Source organism: Homo sapiens, chromosome 1, assembly GCF_000001405.40.
Source record: "Homo sapiens chromosome 1, GRCh38.p14 Primary Assembly".
Taxonomy (NCBI): Eukaryota; Metazoa; Chordata; class Mammalia; order Primates; family Hominidae; genus Homo; species Homo sapiens.
This window is the reverse complement of record NC_000001.11, coordinates 31,468,942-31,490,092: the sequence shown is the minus strand read 5'-3', so window position 1 is coordinate 31,490,092 and position 21,151 is coordinate 31,468,942. Positions and strand designations below refer to the sequence as shown.

The 21,151-nt window shown below is 42.9% G+C and overlaps 2 long non-coding RNA genes and 1 pseudogene across 2 annotated transcripts in view, besides 3 other annotated features; 2 read left to right on the top strand and 1 right to left on the bottom strand.

Annotated features, from left to right (window-relative positions):
• Positions 1,120–2,502, top strand: EEF1A1P46 (eukaryotic translation elongation factor 1 alpha 1 pseudogene 46; annotated as a pseudogene).
• Positions 5,766–5,944: a silencer, noted in NCBI's record as "fragment chr1:31956996-31957174 (GRCh37/hg19 assembly coordinates)". NCBI's record gives its function as "represses an EF-1alpha promoter that drives an FKBP-Casp9 reporter gene in an ReSE screen in phorbol 12-myristate 13-acetate-treated (for megakaryocytic differentiation) K562 erythroleukemia cells {active_cell/tissue: K562(+PMA)}" and the evidence as "EXISTENCE:reporter gene assay evidence [ECO:0000049][PMID:32094911]".
• Positions 6,609–6,918: an enhancer, noted in NCBI's record as "active region_642". NCBI's record gives its function as "activates an Ori minimal core promoter by ATAC-STARR-seq in GM12878 lymphoblastoid cells {active_cell/tissue: GM12878}" and the evidence as "EXISTENCE:reporter gene assay evidence [ECO:0000049][PMID:35858748]".
• Positions 7,937–18,975, bottom strand: LOC105379772 (uncharacterized). The gene is made up of 3 exons (XR_001737618.2): positions 18,859–18,975; positions 11,703–11,859; positions 7,937–8,013 (listed from the first exon to the last, which is right to left on the bottom strand). It is a non-coding gene; the product is annotated as an uncharacterized LOC105379772 (long non-coding RNA).
• Positions 18,132–19,331: an enhancer, noted in NCBI's record as "P300/CBP strongly-dependent group 1 enhancer chr1:31943609-31944808 (GRCh37/hg19 assembly coordinates)". NCBI's record gives its function as "activates an origin of replication core promoter dependent on BRD2, BRD4, P300/CBP, MED14 and CDK7 cofactors, with strong dependence on P300/CBP, by STARR-seq in HCT116 cells {active_cell/tissue: HCT116}" and the evidence as "EXISTENCE:reporter gene assay evidence [ECO:0000049][PMID:35650434]".
• Positions 18,617–21,151, top strand: part of LOC124903900 (uncharacterized) — a 45,067-nt gene continuing 42,532 nt past the window's right edge. The window contains exon 1 of the long non-coding RNA XR_007065585.1: positions 18,617–19,027. This is a non-coding gene — a long non-coding RNA (uncharacterized LOC124903900). The remainder of the gene's footprint in view (positions 19,028–21,151) is intronic.

Here is a 21,151-nt window from a genome sequence, read left to right as displayed (position 1 = left end):
AATAGTTAGACAAACAACCCCATCAAAAAGTGGGCAAAGGATATGAACAGACACTTCTCAAAAGAAGACATCTATTGGCCAAGAAACATGAAAAAAAGCTCAACATCATTGATCATTAGAGAAATGCAAATCAAAACCACAATGAGATACCATCTCACACCAGTCAGAATGGCAATTATTAAAAAGTCAAGAAACAACAGATGCTAGTGAGGCTGTGGAGAAATAGGAATGCTTGTACACTGTTGGTAGGAATGTAAGTTAGTTCAACCATTGCGGGAGATGAATGAGGAGCAAAGTCACGTCTTACATGGCAGCAGGCAAGAGAGCATGTGCAGGGGAACTCCCCTTTATGAAACCATCAGATCTCACGAGACTTATTTACTATCATGAGAACAGCATAGGAAAGACCTACCCCCATGATTCAATTACCTCCCACTGGATCCCTTCCATGACACATGGGAATTATGGGATCTACAATTCAAGATGACATTTGGGTGGGGACACAGCCAAACCATATCACAAAGGAAACATTGAAAAGTCACTTGGAGGCAGAGTGGGTCCCTTGAGGGCCTACTTGAGTGATGGCAATGCAGGCTTTCACTCTACTAAATGGGATGTGCAAGGGTGGGAAGGAGCTGGACTATTCTGAACAGGTGAGGAAGGGCTTCCAGGAACCCCAGAGAAGGCAGAGAACAAGAGCACCTAGTGTCACAAATAGTCTCCATGCACTAGATATGTAGAGAACAATGATAAAAGGAAAAAATAAAGACAAAGATCTGCTTCTGAAGTTTTCTCTAAAAGTTTCCTTCAGTTCTAGCCCCATGGAGGGGCTGAACATATGCATCTAGCTTTCTTTATCTCAATCCCACTATTTGAACTACTTGAACCTCATGTTTATAAATTTCCTTTTAATAATGCCATTATTTATTCTTTTGTTATAAGTCATTTCAGGGGTGAACTCTAGTCTTCTAGAGGCTTCAGAAACACATAATGTGTATCACCTCAGTGTTATAAAGCCCTACCCTCCTCAAACCACTCAAGAATGTCAGAGAAGAGCTTTCTTGGAATGGGTGTGCTGCCAGAACACAGGTATCATGAAAACCACTCCAAAAAGCCAAAATGGGAAAGGAAAAATATTCTTGTCAACATTGTCATCATTGGACACATAGATTCAGGCAAGTCCACCACTACTGGCCATCTGATCTCCAAATGTGGTGGAGTTGATAAAAGAATGGTAGAAAAACTTGTGTCTTCTTTTGGTCACAGACGAGGCTGCTGAGATGGGAAAAGGCTCCTTTAAAATAAGCCTGGGTCTTGCACACACTGAAAGCTCAGCAAGAGTGTGATGTCACCATTGACGTCACCATCTCCCCATGGAAAGTTGAGACCAGCGAGTACTACATGACTAACATTGATGCCCCAAGACACAGAGACTTTATCGAAAATGTCATTACAGGCACATCTTAGGCTGACTGTGCTGTCCTGATTGTTGCTGCTGGTGTTGGTGAATTTGAAGCTGGTGTCTCCAAGAATGAGCAGACTCATGAGTATGCCCTTCTAACTTACACCCTGGGTGTGAAACAACTAATTGTTGGTGTTAAAATGGATTCCACCGAGCCACCCTACAGCCAGAAAAGACACAAGGAAGTCATTAAGAAAATCAGCACTCACATTAAGAAAATTGACTACAACCCCTATCCCCTGAATAGTAGCATTTGTGCCAATTTCTGTTTGGAACTGTGACAGCATGCTGGTGCCAAGGGTTCACATGCCTGGGTTAAAGGGATGGAAAGTCACCCGTAATGATGGCAATGACAGTGGAACCATGCTGCCTGAAGCTCTGAATTACATCCTGCCACCAGCTCATCCAACTGACAAGTCCTTGCGTCTGCCTCTCCAGGATGTCTACAACATTGGTGATATTGGTACTGTCTCTATGGGCTGGGCGGAGACTGGTGTTCTCAAGCCCGGCACAGTAGTCACCTTTGCTCCAGTCAATGTTACAACTGAAGGGAAGTCTGTTGAAATGCATCATGAAGCTTTGAGTGAAGCTCTTCCTGGGGACAATGTGGGCTTCGATGTCAAGAATGTGTCTGTCAAAGATGTTCGTTGTGGCAATGTTGCTGGTGACAGCATAAATGACCCACCTGTGGAAGCAGTTGACTTCACTGCTCAGGTGATTATCCTGAACCACCCAGGCCATATCAGTACTGATTGTGGCCCTGTGCTGAATTGTCAGACAGCTCACATTGCTTGTAAGTTTGCTGGGCTGAAGAAAAAGACTGATTGCTGTTCTGGTAAGAAGCTGGAAGATTTAAATTCTTAAAATCAGGTGATGCTTCCACCATGGATATGGTTTCTAGCAACCCCATGTGTGTTGAGAGCTTTTCTGACGAGCTCCCCTGAGTCCTTTTGCCGTTTGTTGGTTTCATCAAAGCAGTGGACAAGAAGGGTGCTGGAGCTGGCAAGGTCACCAAGCCTGCCCAGAAAGCTCGGAAGGCTAAATGAACATTATCCCTAGTACCTGCCACCCAAGTCTTAATCAGTCATGGAAGAACTGTCTAGAACAGTTTGCTTCAATTGGCCATTTAAGTTTAATAGTAAAAGACTGGTTAATGATAATAATACATCATAAAAGATTCAGAAGGGAAGGAGAATATTTTATGAATCATATTTGTTTTGTTTTCGTGTGGCAATTTTCAGTAATCAGATTTTTTGGTTTTGGTTTCGGTTTTGGTTTTGGTTTTGGTTTTGTTTTGTTTTGTTTTTTGAGACACAGTTTCACTCTGTTGCCCAGGTTGGAGTACAGTGGCACCATCTCAGCTCACTGCAACCTCCGCCTCCTGGGTTCAAGCAATTCTCCCACCTCAACCTTCTGAGTACCTGGAATTACAGACATGCCACTGCACCTGGCAAGTCATTAGTTTTCAAAATCAGTAATTTTTAATGGAAACAACTTGACCAAAAATCTGTCACAGAATTTTGAGACCCATCAAGACAAAGTTTAATGAGAAAACTGTGTCTTCTTTTGGTCAACACTGAAACTTTTATAGAAGTGCTTAGGCAAAAGACTTCATAATCTATTTCTGGTGTTGAGCAGCTGTGAAACCTTATGAGAATATAATTCTGAGTTACCATTTTTTTTTCTGGGTTAATTTGAGGGTGTCTTCCCCCACCTATTTTTTTTTGAAATGGAATCTTGCTGTCATCCAGGCTGGAGTGCAGTGGCGTGATCTCGGCTCACTGCAACCTCTGCCCCCAAGGTTCAATCTATTCTCCTCCCTCAGGCTCCCGAGTAGCTGGGATTATAGGCGCACACCAACATGCCTGGCTAATTTTTGTATTTTTAGTAGAGACAGGGTTTCACCATGTTGGCCAAGCTGGTCTCAAACTCCTGACCTCAGGTAATCCGCCCACCTCGACTTCCCAAAGTGCTGGAATTACAGGCATGAGCCACCATGCCCAGCCTCCACCTATTTCTAAGCAGGAGGAATCTTGCTTCAGGTACCTAGTGAAAAGCTATGGGAGGGCTCTGTTGAATTGTGTATTAGTTCATTCTTACATTGCTATAAAGATAGTACTCTGACACTGGGTAATTTATAAACAAAGGAGGTTTAATTGACTCACAGTTCTGCATGGCTGAGAAGGCCTCAGGAAACTTACAATTATGGTAGAAGGGGAAGCAGGCACCTTCTTTACAAGACGGCAGGAGAGAGTCTGAGCAGAGAGCGAAGAGCCCCTTATGAAACCATCAGATCTCGTGCAAACTCACTCACTATCATGAGAACAGCATGGGGGAAACTTTCTCCATGATCCAATCACCTCCCTCCCTCGACACATGGGGATTACAATTCAAGATGAGATTTGGGTGGGAACACAGAGCCAAGCCATATTAGATTGCAACACTGTTGGTTAGTTTGGAAATGCAGCATGCTTTTGTTTACCTGTGATTTACTTTAGAAGGCCAAATCCTATGATACTAAAGGCCATGCATTACATATGAAATTTCATGTATTTACATCAATATTGAGTAAATTTGTTGAAATCTCAAAAAAAGGAAATGACAGAAAAGATAGCCAATATTCAACATTATTTTTAAAATATTGTTATAATGTGGTTAAATTATAACATAACACATATATAACACATATCGCATTGATTTATGTAATATGATATCAAATTCCACATTGAAAATTTATGTGAAACTCTATAGTTTGTCATTTTCACAATACTATTTGGATGTTATTTAAATATACAATTTTAAACTCTCCTAGAACCCTTCTCCCTTTTCTTTTTCAAGATTTCCACATTCTCTAATAACAATTGTCCTTAGTGTTTTCACTGAAGCGTCTCTCATTTTATTTTAGTTTTTGGTGTTAACCTGCCAGCTCTAGCCCTTCAAGGAAAAACCTTTTCTGAAGAAGAACTGCATAACACAATTCTTACAATACAAAACGTGTGATTTTAAAACACTTGCATTTCTAATAAGATGAATTATTTGGAGTCGTTTTGCATTGTCCTACTTGGGAACCCCCGCCCAGGGCACACAGAGGTGTCACATTCAGCTTTGCCAAGGAGTAGTCATGTTTCAAGGTGAAGTTCATCGCCACCCATGAAGTATTTACTCTTGCCAAGGCTGTTCTGCTTAAATCAAATCAAGCTTACAGACATTTATCTCAGTTTATAGAAGATACGGGAGATGAAGGAACATCAAGTGGAAATAATTAGGCCCATTCAGAAAGCGGGATGTTATGCAATTTAACCCTCCCAGCCTCGTAGAAACAAGCAGAAGGGGAAACCAAGAGAATTCAGACATACAACAATTAACTACAATGTGTGGTTAGTGATTAGAGCATAGTTTGAAAACATCAGCTATACAAGACATTTGGAGGGAAATTGAGGAAATTTGCATTGGAATTTACATGACATTAGGGAATTGCTGTTACTTTTTTAGGTGGGATAATAACCATGCGGTTATGTAGGAGAGTGTCCTTTTTTTTAAAGAGATGCTTGCTGAAATAATTAGAGGTTATGTGACAGGATGTCCTTACTTTGAAATGTTCTTTTTATTTATTTATTTGAGACGGAGTTCCCCCCTCCCCTATCCCCACCTCCATCACCCAGGCTGGAGTGCAATGGCACCATCTCAGCTCATTGCAACCTCCGCCTTCCGGGTTCAAGTGATTCTCCTGCTTCATCCTCCAGAGTAGCTGGGATTACAGGTGCCCACCACCACACCCGGCTAATTTTTAGTAGAGACGGGGTTGCGCCATGTTGGCGAGGCTGGTCTCAAACTCCTGTCCTCACGTGATCCACCCACCTCAGCCTCCCAAAGTGCTGGAATTACAGGCATGAGCCACCACCCCCAAAAAAATTCAGACCAGGTGTGGTGGCTCACACCTGTAATCCCAGCACTTTGGCAGGCTGAGGTGGGCTGATCACGAGGTCAGGAGATAGAGACCATCCTGGCTAACACGGTGAAACCCTGTCTTTACTAAAAATACAAAAAAATTAGCCAGGCATGGTGGCAGGCGCCTGTAGTCCCAGCTACTCGGGAAGCTGAGGCAGGAGAATCGCTTGAACCCAGGAGGCAGAGCTTGCAGTGAGCCGAGATCCTGCCACTGCACTCCAGCCTGGGCGACAGAGTGAGACTCCTTCCCAAAAAAAAAAAAAAATCTGTTGATGGGTGGTGGTGATGGGTGCATAACAACATGAATGTGCTTAATACCACCTAGTAATATACTCAAAAAGGGTTAAAATGGTAAATTTTATGTTATGTATATTTTGCCACAATAAAAAACAAAATACTCATCCACTTGGGGCTGCTGAGCAGAGACAAGATCTTACTGAGGACAGCCTACCAGTGACTTGCTGCCTCTGCCTGCTGGACTGTTGGGTTCTTCTTCCCCAACACCAGCCTCAGCTGTTGGTGGCAGCAGAAAGGGGTTGGGGGAGCCCCATTCCCCATGGATCAAGCCCATCATGCCATCAAGAATTTGAATTTGGTGGCTTCCCACCCCATGGTTCAAAATCTCTTGGGATCCCAGATCCAGCAAATCTAATTGCAAATGTTTTGGGGTCAACCAAATAGGGACTGACTCTCCCTCAGTACCAGACCTTACTTTGTTTTCAATTCCAATGAACCAGAAATCATGAGGCACTTAGAGCCTTTTATTCCCTACTAATTACAATGCAAACTGCTACCCACATTTTCTTGCTTTTGTCTGAGGGTGGGATCCGTCAGTTATCAGAGCTGATGTGTAATCAGTCTGTTTGGCAATAGGAGCCAACAGGGATTCATTACCCACCACCCACAGCCAACCCCCTACACTGCAGCAACCAGGAAGCTGGGGAAGATGAGAGTATGGTCACCCCCTTTTCATTGTTTCATTCAGGGTAGAAATTCAGGGCCTACGGGGACATTGCAAATTCCTTTAACCTGGACAGCGATGCTGATGTGCAAGTTCCTAGAAAGCAGCATGGACATTAACAGAACATTAAGCAAGCATGATGACTAAACCAAAGGGAGTTGACGCAGAGCATTTCAACACCACGTAATTAATTACCCAGCAGAAAGACATTTCAGCAAAGGGCCTGGGGACCACATGATTCTACTTCCTCATCATAGATCTGCAACTGACTTCACAGATGGTGTGTAGCAGCCGTTGCGTGAGGTGTTTAAGAATAATCACCATGTTTTAATTCCATCTGCTTCCCCTGGGGAGAGAAATTCTTACTTGACAGTGAAGCTGAGGGAAGAGAGAGACCCTCTGATATTGTTTTATACTCAGTACCCGTTTTAAGAAAAAACGACAAGGAAGTAAAACCAAAGACAGGCAGCCCGGCGCCAGGCCAAAAACCAGGCCTGGGCCTGCCTGGCCTAAACCCAGTAGTTAAAAATCAACTCATAACTTAGAAACCGATGTTATTCATAGATTCTAGACATCATATAGAAGAACATTGTGAAACTCCCTGCCCTGTTCTGTTTCTCTCTGACCACCAGTGCATGTGGCCCCTGTCATGTACTGCCTGCTTGCTCAAATCAATCACGACCCTTTCATGTGAAATCTTTAGTGTTGTGAGCCCTTAAAAGGGACAGAAATTGTGCATTCGGGGAGCTCAGATTTTAAGGCAGTAGCTTGCCGATGCTCCCAGCTGAATAAAGCCCTTCCTTCTACAACTCGGTGTCTGAGAGGCTTTGTCTGCAGCTTGTGCTGCTACAAAGCCACACAGTACAAGGCAGTCTAGATTATCTTCCCCATTTGCTTCTGACAGTGTGAAGGTTGACACTGAGTTTGCCACTCTCCAGGGCAAATATCTTTAGTTCGTTTCACAAATGGGTTGACCGAGGTCCAGAGATTGTGGGTTGTGCCCAAGATCACAAGCTCAAATTCATGTGCGATGGATAGAGAGCAAGGGTTGCCTTGGAATCTGATTAACACCCTGTGGCTACTCCCAACTGGGGTGAGGGAATCTCCCCACACTCAGTACCCAGTCCTGATTAGGGTTAGAGTAGCATTAGTGGTCCTATGGGCAGGAGTCCTTCCTTTCTCCCTTATTCCCCACAGGAAAAATTTTTAATTGATAAGTATCATTGCCATGCATGCATTTGTATTTCTACCACCTATGTATGTATCCATAGACAATATAAAGTATTATTTTGTGTGTTCTTAAAAATTTAAAATAAATAGTATCATACCATATCATTTTGCAACCTGCTTCTTTTTTCAGTATTTAGTGTGTTTTAAGTTTATCCTTATTGGTTCATGTAACTCTACTTAAATTATTTCAAATACTATAAAGTAGTCCACTGTTTGAATAAACCTCAGGTTATCTACCCATTTTTTTGTGCATTATATGTATTATATAGTGAATTCTTACAATAACATAAGCTAGAGAAAAGAAAATGTTATTAAGAAAATCACAAGGAAGATAATATATATTTACTGTTTATTAAGAGGAAGTGGGGTCATCATAAATGCCTTCATCCTCATTGTGTTCATGCTGAGTTGGCTGAGGAGGAGGAGGAAGAGGGAGAAAGAGAGAAGGGTTGGTATTGTCATATCAGGGGTAGCAGAGGCAGCAGAAAAGTAACATATAAGTGAATGAACAGAGTTCAAACACAAACCCGTGTTGTTCAAAGGTCAATTTTTCTTTTCTTGTATAATTTATTGGGTGCAGTGTTCTAAAGATGTATTTTAGGTATAGTTGGTTTATAGTGTAGTTTAAGTTTTTGGTTTATAGTGTAGTTTAAGTTTTCTATTTCATTGTTGGTCTTCTGCCAAGATATTGTATTCATTATTGAAAGTATTCAACTACTATTGTTGAATTGCCTAGTTCTCCCTTCATTTGTCAGTTTTTACTTCACATATATTTGGCCTCTGTTGTTAAGTGCATATATGTTTATGATTATTATATCTTCCTGACACATTGACCCTTTTATGATTATAAAATGTCTCTCTTTAAAAGAGTATCATCTTTTTGTTTTCAAGTCTATTCTGTAATATTAGTAGAGCGACACCAGCTTTCTTGTGATTTCTGTTTGCATGATACATTTCTCCGTTCTTTTACTTTCTTCTTCTTCTTCTTCTCCTCTTCCTCCTCCTTCTCTTCTTCTTCTTCTCCTTCTTCCTCTTCCTCTTCTCCTCCTCTTCCTCTTCCTCCGTCATCGTCACTGTCGTCATTTCACTGTATCACCCAGGCTGGTCTCAAACTCCTGGGCTCAAGGAATTCTCCTGCCTCGGCCTCTGGAGTAGCTGGGACTGCAAGTGCACACCACTGCACCCGGCTCAAATTACCCATCCTTAATTGAGCACTGATTAGGCTTTTGGACTTTTTGCTATTATGAACAGGGCTGAAATGTCTCCTTGTGCACATGGGTGAGTTTTGTCCCCAATAAACATCTATTAGTGGAATTGCTGAATCATAGATGTGCTCATCTTAAAATTTCCCAGATATTGCCACATTTCCTTTCAAAATAATAGCCCTAGATAGTTATGAATTCCTGTTTTCCCAGGAATCTTGCCACCACAAAATGTCATTAGCCTTACTCTTTTTTTTTTTTTAAGTAGAGATGGGGTTTCACCATATTGGCCAGGCTGGTCTCAAACTCCTGACCTCATGATCCGCCTGCCTCGGCCTCCCAAAGTGCTGGGATTACAGGTGTGAGCCACCACGTCCTACTAGCCTTACTAATTTTTAAGTTTTCTTGCTGAGACCAGCTCGGTCTGGGAGACCCTAACTCACTGGCACTAGAGGAATTAAAGACACACACACAGAAATATAGAGGTGTGAAGTGGGAAATCAGGGGTCTCACAGCCTTCAGAGCTGAGACCCCCGAACAGAGATTTACCCATGTATTTATTAACAGCAAGTCAGTCATTAGCATTGTTTCTATGGATATTAAATTAACTAAAAGTATCCCTTATGGGAAACAAAGGGATGGGCCGAAATAAAGGGATGGTTAGTTTACTAGTTGGGCTAGTTAACTGCAGCAGGAGCATGTCCTTAAGGCACAGATCGCTCATGCTATTATTTGTGGCTTAAGAATGCCTTTAAGCAGTTTTCTGCCCTGGGTGGGCCAGGTGTTCCTTGCCCTCATTCCGGTAAACCCACAACCTTCCAGTGTGGGCTTCATGGCCATCATGAGCATATCACAGTGCTGCAGAGATTTTGTTTATGGCCAGTTTTGGGGCCAGTTTATGGCCAGATTTTGGGGGGCTTGCTCCCAACACTTTCTATTTCCCTGCTTTTCTATATGTCATTCATTGTTGAAAATGTCATTCAAATTTCTCTATTGTTACCCATTTTGTCTGTTTGATATCATTTACTGAGAGAGGCACATCTAAATTTCTCAAATTGTAGGTTTATTTATTTCTGCTTGTGCGTCTATCAATTTTTGCTCTGTATAATTTATAACCAGGGTAAGTGGAAGTTCACGTGGATAAAGCAAAATTCATGAACTCACTTATGCCCAGAGATCACAGAGAAGGCTGTATGACTAGGGAGATGAACTTTCCTGGTTTGCTCAAGACAGATGGGTTTCCCAGGATGTGGGACTTTCAATGGTAAAGCAAGGGAAGTACAAATGACCAATTCTAACATTTTCATGAATGAACCACAGAAGTGGAATGTGGGGGAGGAATCCTGCTTTGGGGCCTCCCCAGCATCCAACCTCTATGTCATCTTTTCTTCTCATGCCAGAATTTTCCAGCTATTAGAAGTTGGGTAACACTGATCTCACCTTTGGGTGGGCTGGTGATGAATGACTTATATTCTTGACCTGCAGACCACTGGCAGAATTCAAAGGGGTACATGAACTCATACAAGAAAGTAATTGCATCTTTATTTTCACCAGGGTCCCATTGACATTTGTCATTTTCTTTGATTATGAATACAAGAAACATCCACAGTCACATTAGCAATATGTGTGTGTTTGTGACCCAGAGGAAATCACAGATATTCATATTACATGACAGTTGTTGCAGACATCTCAAAAGTAAGGTAATTATTACATTTCCTGCTGCATACAGGTGATCAAAGTCTTTTCATCTGATGCCCCTGCAATGTTGCTAGCCAATATCAGACAACTCTTTGCCATGGGACAATGATGTCTCACATTCTCACACTGGTGACCCAGACACATTAATTGCTTTCCAGGATCCCCTATTCACATTAGTTTATCAATCAGTGGAAGGAGGTGAGTCAAAGAGCACTTCACAGTTTAACACTCGTATTAAAGCGTAGCAACCACCCTCACTGATGTGTCATTTTAAAATCAAATTAAAACTTTGACTTGCCCATATTTATAATATACTGTCTTATTAAGTAATGTATTAATTCAAAAATGTATATTACTCTATTGGAAGTTTGTTTATTCATTATTTTGGTAGCTATATTTTAATACACTCTGTTTCCTCTGTGATTTTTTTCTGAGACAGAGTCTCTCTCTGTCACCCAGGTTGGAGGGCAGTGGCGCAATCTCTGTCACTGCAACCTCCACCTCCTGAGTTCAAGTGATTCTGCTGCCTCAGCCCCCCGAGTAGCTGGGACTACAGGTGTGTGCCACCATGCTCGGCTAATTTTTGTATTTTGGGTAGAGACAAGGTTTTGCCATGTTGGCCAGGCTGGTCTTGAACTCCTGGCCTCAAGTGATTCACCCACCTCGGCCTCCCAAAGTGCTGGGATTACAGGCATGAGCCACCATACCCAGCCTCCTCTGTGATTTTATACATTTTACTTTGTGCATTTAAACACATTCTGAGGCCTGGTGTGGTGGCTTATGCCTGTCATCCCAGTACTTTAAGAGGCCAAGATGGGAGGATCACTTGAGGCCAGAGGTTCAAGACCAGCCTAGGCAATATAGTGAGAACCTATCTCTAATAGTAATAATAATAAATTTTTATTTAATTTAATTCAAAAATAAAAACACTCTGAGAAGGGATCCTTTGGCTTCCCCAGGTGGCCAGAGGCCTATGGCACTGAAAAGATGAAGAACCACTGGCTCGTTCCATCCCCCAGGTTGTTTTATTTTTATTATTTTTATTTTATTATTTATTATTTTATTCTGTTTTTATATTTCATAGTGTTTTTCACCTTTTAATACACTATATAGTCTACATTTAAAAATTATCTGTGCATCTCTACTAGAAAATGAAATCAATGGAAACAGAAATTTTGGTCTGTTTTGCTTGCTTCCATACCTCAGACATGGGAAAATGATACGTCAGCATTTAAGAAGCACTTGTTGGTTTTCAAGAACATCATGGCAGACGGCAGGCAGGACCAGATTGCAGCTCCCACTTGGACAGACAGAACAGTGTGTGGAGACCCACATCATGAACTTTTGCTCCAGAACTACTGCAGGAATAAACCAGAAAAGCTGAGATAACCCACAGACCCTCTGAAGGAAGCAGATTGCTCCCACAGGACCCAGGAGACACTTCAAATACTGTGAGTGCACAAGCTGTGGAAGTGGGAATGAGGGATCATCTGGCCTGAACACACACCCTCACTGGGGAACCTGAAGGTCTAGATCACGGGAGAAGATTCTGACCTTACCCGGGGCTAAGTCAACTTGGAAAGCCCAGCAAAATACAGGGGTAAAGGAAGCAGTGGAAAAGCCCTGTGGGCTCTCTGGGTCTCCTGAGAAGCCATTTCTGCATTATCTCACGGGGTCCTTGGGGAGGGCTGCCAGAGGTACTAGGAAAAGACCACAGGAAGAAGGAAACCTTCAGTTGGACTTTGTAGCAATTCCAACCAAATGCAAAGTCTCCTGGCCAGAACTTGGGGGAGGACATGAATCCGGTGGGCAGACTGCGCAGGTCGGGGAGGCCCGAAAGCCCTGTTTGCTTTCGCAGATGGGAAGCTGGTAGCCTGGGGCAAATTCTCAGCGCTGCTTGCCCACTGCCTGGAAACAGACTCAGTGCCGTTGGGGGTGGAGCATGGTGTGAGTGAGACTGGCCTTTTGGGTTGTGTGGGAGCTGAGTAAGGCCTGTGACTGCTGGCTTTCCCCCACTTCCCTGACAACCTGCAAGACACAGCAGAGGCAGCCACAATCCTCCTGGGAACATAACTCCATTGACCTGGGAACCACTCTCCCATCTGCCGCAGCAGTCACAGCAAGACCCATCCAAGGAGAGTCTGAGCCCAGACATGCCTAGCCCTGCCCCTACCTGATGGTCCTTCCATACCCACCCTGGCAGTTAAAGACAAAGGGCATATACTCTTGGGAGTTCTCGGGCCCTGCCCACCACCTGATCCTCCCTGTACTACCACATCTGGTGCTCTCTTGAAAGTACCACCTCCTGGCAGGAGGCCAAACAGCACAACAATTGTGCATTAAACAACCAAAACTAAGAAACCTCACAGAGTCCATTTCACCCCCTGCCACCTCCACTGGAGCAGGTGCTGGTATCCACAGCTGACAGAACTGCAGATGGTTCACATCACAAGACTCTGTGCAGACAACCCCCAGTATCAGCCTGGAGCCTGGTAGACCTGCTGGGTGGCTAGATCCAAAAGAGAGATAACAATCACTACATCTCAGCTCTCAGGAAGCCACATCCCTAGGAAAAGGGGGAGTACTACATTAAGGGAACACCCCGTGGGACAAAGGAATCTGAACAGCAGCCTTGAGCCCCAGATCTTCCCTCTGACATAGCCTACTCAAATGAGAAGGAACCAGAAAAACAACTCTGGTAACATGACAAAGCAAAGCTCTTTAATACCCCCCCAAAAATCACACTTGCTCACCAGCAATGGATCCAAACCAAGAAGAAATCCCTGATTTACCTGAAAAAGAATTCAGAAGGTCAGTTACTAAGCTAACCAAGGAGGCACCAGAGAAAGGTGAAGTCCAATTTAAGGAAATCAAAAAAATGATACAAGAAACAAGGGGAGAAATCTTCAGTGAAATAGATAGCATAAATAAAAAACAATCAAAACTTCAGGAAATAATAAATGCAGTTAGAGAATACAAAATGTTCTGGAAAGTCTCAGGGATAGAATCAAACAAGCAGAAGAAAGAGCTCAAAGACAAGTTTTTCAAATTAACCCAATCCAAGAAAGACAAAGAAAAAAGAATAAGAAAAAATAAACAAAGCCTCCGAGAGTTTGGGGTTGTGTTAAACAACCAAATCTAAGAATAATTGGCATTCCTGAGGAAGAAGAGAAATCTAAAAGTTTGAAAAACATATTTGGGGGAATAATCGAGGAAAATCCCCGGTCTTGCTACAGACCTAGACATCCATATACAAGAAGCTCAAAGAACACATGGGAAATTAATCACAAAAAGATCATCGCCTAGGCATATTATCATCAGGTTATCTAAAGTCAAGACAAAGGAAAGAATCTTAAGGGCTGTGAGGCAAAAGCACCAGGTAACCTATAAAGGAAAACCTAACAAATTAACAGCAGATTTCTCAGCAGAAACCCTACAATCCCAATAAGGGATTGGGGGCCTATATTCAGCCTCTTAAACAAAATAATTATTGGTCATATCTAGCAAAACTAAGCTTCATACATAAAGGAAATATACAGTCTTTTTCAGACAAACAAATGCTGAGAGAATTCACCACAACCAAGCCAGCACTACAAGAACTGCTAAAAGGAGCTCTAATTCTTGAAACAAATCCTGGAAACACATCAAAACAGAACTCTTTTACAGCATAAATCTCACAGGACCTATAAAACAAAAATACAACTAAAAAAAAGTGTACAGGCAACAAATAGCATGATGAATGGAATAGTGCCTCACCTCGCAATACTAACATTGAATGTAAATGTCCTAAATGCTCCACTTAAAAGATACAGAATTGCAGAATGGGTAAGAATCCACCAGCCAACTATCTGCTGCCTTCAAGAGACTCCCCTAACACATAAGGACTCACATAAACTTAAGTTAAAGGGGTGGAAAAGACATTCCATGCAAATGGACACCAAAAGGGAGCAGGAGTAGCTATTCTTTTATCAGACAAAACAAACTTTAAGACAACAGCTATTTAAAAAGACAAAGAGGGACATTATGTAATGATAAAACCTCTTGTCCAACAGGAAAATATTACAATCCTAAATATACATGCACCTAACACTGGAGGTTCCAAATTTATAAAACAATTACTACTATACCTAAGAAATCAGATTGACAGCAACACAATAGTAGTAGGGGACTTCAATACTCCACTGACAGCACTAGATAGGTCACCAAGACAGAAAGTCAACAAAGAAACAATGGATTTAAATTATATCCTGGAACAAATGGACTTAACAAATATTTACAGAACATTCTACCCAACAACCACAGAATATACATTCTATTCATCAGTGCATGGAACTTTCTCCAAATAGACCCTATGACAGGCCACAAAACAAGTCTCAATAAATTTAAGAAAATTGAAATTGTATCAAGTGCTCTCTCAGACCACAGTAGAATAAAACTGGAAACCAACTCCAAAAGGAACCTTCAAAACCATGCGAATACATGGAAATTAAATAATCTGCTCCTGAATAATCGTTGAGTCAACAATGATATCAAAATGGAAATTTAAAAATTCTTCAAACTGAACAATAACAGTGACACAACCTATCAACACCTCTGGGATACAGCAAAGGCGGTTGATATGGTTTGGCTGTGACCCCACCCAAATCTCAACTTGAATTTTATCTCCCAGAATTCTCACGTGTTTTGGGAGGGACCCAGGGTTAGGTAATCGAATCATGGGGGCCAGTCTTTCCCGTGCTATTCTCATGATAGTGAATAAGTCTCACAAGATCTGATGGGTTTATCAGGGGCTCCTGCGTTTGCTTCTTCCTCATTTTTCTCTTGCCACTGCCATGTAAGAAGTGCCTTTCACCTCCCAAGGCCTCCCCAGCCATGTGGAACTGTGTAAGTCCAATTAAACCTCTTTTTGTTCCCGGTTTCAGGTGTGTCCTTTTTTTTTTTTTTTTTCTCTCGAGGCAGAGTCTTGCTCCATCCCTCAGGCTGGAGTGCAATACCACAATCTCGGCTCACTGCAACCTCTGCCTCCTGCATTCAAGCGATTCTCCTGCCTCAGTCTCCTGAGTAGCTGGGATTACAGGTGCATGCCACAACGCCTAGCTAATTTTTTGTATTTTTAGTAGAGTCAGGGTTTCACCATGTTGGCCAGGCTGGTCTCAAACTCCTGACCTCGTGATCCACCTGCTTTGGCCTCCCAAAGTGCTGGGATTACAGGCATAAGCCACCGCACCTGGCTCAGGTGTGTCTTTATCAGCAGCATGAAAACGAACTTATACAGTAAATTGGTACCAGTAGAGTGGGCATTGTTGAAAAGATACCTGAAAATGTGGAAGGAACTTTGGAACTGGGTAACAGGCAGACATTGGAACAGTTTTGAGAGCTCAGAAGATGGGAAAATGTGGGAAAGTTTGGAACTTCCTAGAGACTTGTTGAATGACTTTGCCCAAAATGCTGACAGTGATATGGACAATAAAATCCAGGCTGAGATTGTCTCAGATGAAAAACTTGTTGGGAACTGGAGTAAATGTGATGTTACTAAGTTTTAGTGAAAAGTCCAGTGGTATTTTGCCCCTGCTTTAGAGATTTTTGGAACTTTGAACTTAAGAAAGATGACTTAGGGTATCTGACAGAAGAAACTTACAAGCAGTAAAGCATTCAAGAGGTGACTTGGGTACTGTTAAAGGCATTCAGCTTTATAAGGGAAGCAGAGCATAGAAGTTTGGAAATTTTGCAGCCTGACTATGCAATAGAAAAGAAAAATCCATTTTCTGGGGAGAAATTCAAGCCAGCTGCAGAAATTTGCATAAGTAACAAGAAGCACAATGTTAATCCCTAAGACCATGGGGAAAATGTCTCCAGGCCATGTCAGAGATGGCCCCTCCCATCACAGGCCCAGAGGCCCAGGAAGAAAAAGTGGTTTCATGGGCCAGGCCCAGGGTCCCCATACTGTGTGAAGCATGGGGACTTGGTGCCTTGTGTCCTACCCACTCCAGCCATGGCTGAAAGGGGCCAATGTAGAGCTTGGGCTGTGGCTTCAGAGGGTGGAAGCCCCCCAAGTCTTGGCAGCTTCCATGTGGTGTTGAGCCTGTGGGTACACAGAAGTCAAGAATTGAGGTTTGGGAACCTCTGCCTAGATTTCAGAAGATGTATGGAAACGCCTGGATGCCCAAGCACAAGTTTGCAGCAGAGGCAGGGCCCTCATGGAGAACATCTGCTAGGGCAGTGCCAAAGGGAAATGTGGGGTCGGAGCCCCCACACAGAGTTCCTACTGGGACACTGCCTAGTGGAGCTGTGAGAAGAGGGCCACTGTCCTCCAGACCCCAAATGGTACATCCATGAATAGCTTACACTATGTGCCTGGAAAAGCTGCAGACACTCAATGCTAGCCCATGAAAGCAGCTGGGAGGGTGGTTGTAACTTACAAAGCCACAGGGGTGGAGCTGCCCAAGACGATGGGAACCCATCTTTTGCATCACTCTGACCTGGATGTGAGACCTGAAGTCAAAGGAGATCATTTTGGAGCTTTAAAATTTGACTGGCCCACTGGATTTCAGATTTGCATGGGCCCTTTAACCCCTTTGTTTTGGCCAATTTCTCCCATTTGGAACAGTTATATTTACCCAATACCTATACCCACATTGTATCTAGGAAGCGACTAGCTTGTTTTTTATTTTACAGGCTCATAGGCAGAAGGGACTTGCCTTGTCTCAGATGAGACTTTGTACCATGGACTTTTGGGTTAATGCTGAAATGAGCTAAGGCTTTGGGGGACTGTTGGGAAGGCATGATTGGTTTTGAAATGTGAGGACATGAGATTTGGAGGGGCCAGAAGCAGAATGATATGGTTTGGCTGTGACTCTACCCAAATCTAAACTTGAATTGCATCTCCCAGAATTCTCACATGTTTTGGGAGGGACCCTGGGGGAGGTAATCAAATCACAGGGGCCGGTCTTTCCTGTGCTGTTCTCATGAAAGTGAATAAGTCTCACGAGATCTGATGGGTTTGTCAGGGGTTTCCCTTTTTGCTTCTTCCTCATTTTTTCTCTTGCCGTCGCCATGTAAGAAGTGCTTTTTGCCACCACCCATGATTCTGAGGCCTCCCCAGCCATGTGGAACTGTGTAAGTCCAATTAAACCTCTCTTTATTCCCAGTTTCAGGTGTGTCTTTATCAGCAGCATGAAAACAAACTAATACAGCAGTGCTAAGAGAAAAGTTCATAGCCCTAAATGCCTACATCAAAAAGCCTGAAAGAGCACAAACAGACAATCTAGGGTCACACCTCAAGGAACTAGAGAAACAAGAACAAACCAAATCCAAATCCAGCAGAAGAAAGGAAATAACCAAGATCAGAGCAGAACTAAATGAAATTTAAATAACAACAACAAAATACAAAAGATAAAACAAAAACTGGTTCTTTGAAAATATAAATAAAATTGATAGACCATTAGCAAGATTAACCAAGAAAAGAAGAGAAAAATCCAAATAAGCTCAATTAGAAACAAAATAGGAGGTATTACAACCAACACCACAGAAATACAAAAACTCATTCAAGGCTACTATGAACACCTTTACACACATAAACTAGAAAACCTAGCAGAGATGCATAAATTCCTGGAAAGATACAACCCTCCTGGCTTAAATCAGGAAGAACTAGATATTCTTGTTAAAGATCGTGAACTCCAAGTTTCTTTTCAAAGAATCACTATGTCAGTATGTTCAGCTCTCTTTATTCTCCATTTTAAAGTCTAACTTCCTGGTTCTATTGCCCCGCTTGCCTCTAGTTTCAGTAAACAAGTTTCCTGCCAGTTCTAATCAGTAGTTCACATCTGTTCCCCTGGTCACCTGCTTTGTCCTGAGTCACCCCTGGTCACCTGCTCCATCTTGAGTCACCCCTGTCACCTGCTCTGACCTGAATCATCCTGAGTCAACTGTTCTGTAACCACCCCTCCCGCCAAACTTCTCACCCTGTCACTCCAGCTTGTACCCCTGCTCTCTTTAAAATAGCCAATCGGAATTAGCTTACACTGTGCGGTCCAATCCTAGCCAATAGGGGAATGACACAACAGCAGGGACTACCTGCACCAGGAATACGAACCGCTTCCCTCCCCTTGTTCAGGTGTGCTTTCGCCATTACTCCAACCACGAGTCGCACCCTTCTATAGAAGTAAAAATTACCTGGCTGAGAAAATTAAATTTATGTTCAAGTGCTATTTCTCTGCAGCACCAAGGAACAGGCATTTGTTTCTAACAATCTCGTGGCCCATATGGGGAGCTATTCTCCTCTAGGGGTGGCCTCTATTCCTCTCTCACGCCCCACTGCCTTGTTGCGGTGGCCTCAAGAGTCAGGAATCGAGACTCACCTGGTGTGACAAATAAACCTGGACTCAGCAATGTCGAAAGAAACCAGCCGGCGACCCAGGGGAAAGGATCCTCACACACCACAGTGACCAGGCAACTCTGTGCACAGACCGAGGAAGGAAACGCCTGGGAGCCAGCAAAGTATTTCCTTGGTGGTTGGGACAGACCAAGGTAAGAGAAGCCACAGGGGGTGGTGGTATTCCTTGATCAGGACATATCAAGGTAAGAAAAGACACGGAGGAGGTGGGGCGGTGAAGTATTCCCTGGTTGGGGTATCTTGAGGGTTAAAAATAGGCAAGACATTTCTAGCAAGGGGAATTGAGCCTCACACTAAAAATGGGAAATACCCCAAGTAAGGTAAGGGATAAAAAGGATACACTAGCAATGATAATATTCCCCCTAATAATCCGCTCAGCCTAATGATAAAATATTAGAAGGGTAATGAAAGGACCAAAAACAAGAAAAAGCAGCTGCTGTCCCAGACCCTTCTCCTATCCCTGTTGTCCCTCTCCTTATAATTCTGCCTCTTGGGAATGTTCCCAAGAGCCCACTCACGACCAGCCTGAGTACCCTTCCCTAAAAGGACTTCACACGAGATAGAGCAATGTAAAAAGGATATTCAGAACTTCCCTTTCCCCTCTTCTCAGGGGAAGAAAGAGGCATGATCCATAGGGCTGCAATGGGAGCCTAGGAACCATGAACACCCCGCCCCCGGCTTCCGGCCAAAACGTTCCTACAGCGGATCAAAAATTTCCCACCCAAGACCCCTGGTGGGACAATAACAATGCAGCCAACCAAGAAAATATGCAAGACCTTAAGGAATTGATAATAAAGGGGATTAAAGAATCAGTACCCCGAACCCAGAATCTTACCCAAACATTTGATATACAGCAAGGGAAAGATTAAGGGCCTATAGAATTTTTAGACAGATTAAAGGAATAAATGAGAAAATATACTGGTCCAGGTCTCGAGGATCCCCTTGGACAGGGAATGTTAAAACTTCATTTTGTCACTAACAGTTGGCCAGATATTAACAAGAAATTACAAAAGATAGGGAACTAGAAAGATAAACCTATAGAAGAGCTTCTAAGAGAAGCCCAAAAAGTATATGTAGGAAGAGATGAAGAAAAACAAAAGCAGAGGGCAAAAATTCTGCTGTCCACCATACAACAAAGTACCCAGGGGGCAAGAACCTATAAAGAACCTAGACCCCCACTCTCCAGGCAACATAAAGGGTACAAAAGAGTAAAGCCAGGAGACTCAAAGGTAGAGAAAAAAATCTTAGAGGCGAGAGAAAGACTGACAGAGGGGACAGAGGAAGTCAGAGAGAGAGAGAGGGAAAGAGACAGAGGAAGTCAGAGAGAGAGGGAAAGAGACAGAGGAATTCAGAGAGAGAGAGAGAGAGATAGGGAGAGGAAAAGGGAAAGAGGACAAAACAAATGCTTCAAATTAAAAATAGGTCACTTCAAAAAAGAATGTCCCAAGTGGGAAAAAGAATAAAGTCATATGTAAAAGCAAATCAGCTAATATTAACTTTCTGCTAATTCTGGAAGCAGGGACAAATCTATAAGGAAGAGATTTAATGCTAAAATTAGGCTTAGGCCTCGAAATCAATCATAGAAAATTCCTCCTTTCCCTAAACTTACCACCACAGCAAAAGATGGGAAGCAAGGAAAGTTACAGATTCCTCCAATTCATGTTAAATTAAAAAAAAAAACTATTAAAAACACCTGGGGAAGTAGTAAAGAGAAAGCAATGTACCCTATTTCTTTGAAAACTAGGGTAAATTTAAGACCTATAATTGATAATTGAAGGTCGTCTTGGTGTTGGGCTTCTTAAACCCTGTGTGTCTCCCTATAACACTCCAATATTGCCTGTAAAGAAGCCAGATGGGGGCCAGGCGCAGTGGCTCACACCTGTAATCCCAGCACTTTTGGAGGCCAAGGCACGTGGATTACAAGGTCAGGAGATTGAGACCATCCTGGCTAACACAGTGAAACCCCGTCTCTACTAAAAATACAAAAAACGAGCTGGGCGTGGTGGCAGGTGCCTGTGGTCCCAGCTACTCGGGAGGCTGAGGCAGGAGAATGGTGTGAACCTGGGAAGCGGAGCTTGCAGTGAGCTGAGATTGCGCCACTGCACTCCAGCCTGGGTGATAGAGTGAGACTCTGTATCAAAAAAAAAGAAGCCAGACGTGTCATACCAGTTAGTGCAAGACCTTGGAGCTATTAATCAAATAATCCAAACTACCCACCCTATTGTTCCCAATCCTTATACTATTACAGTCACCAGTGG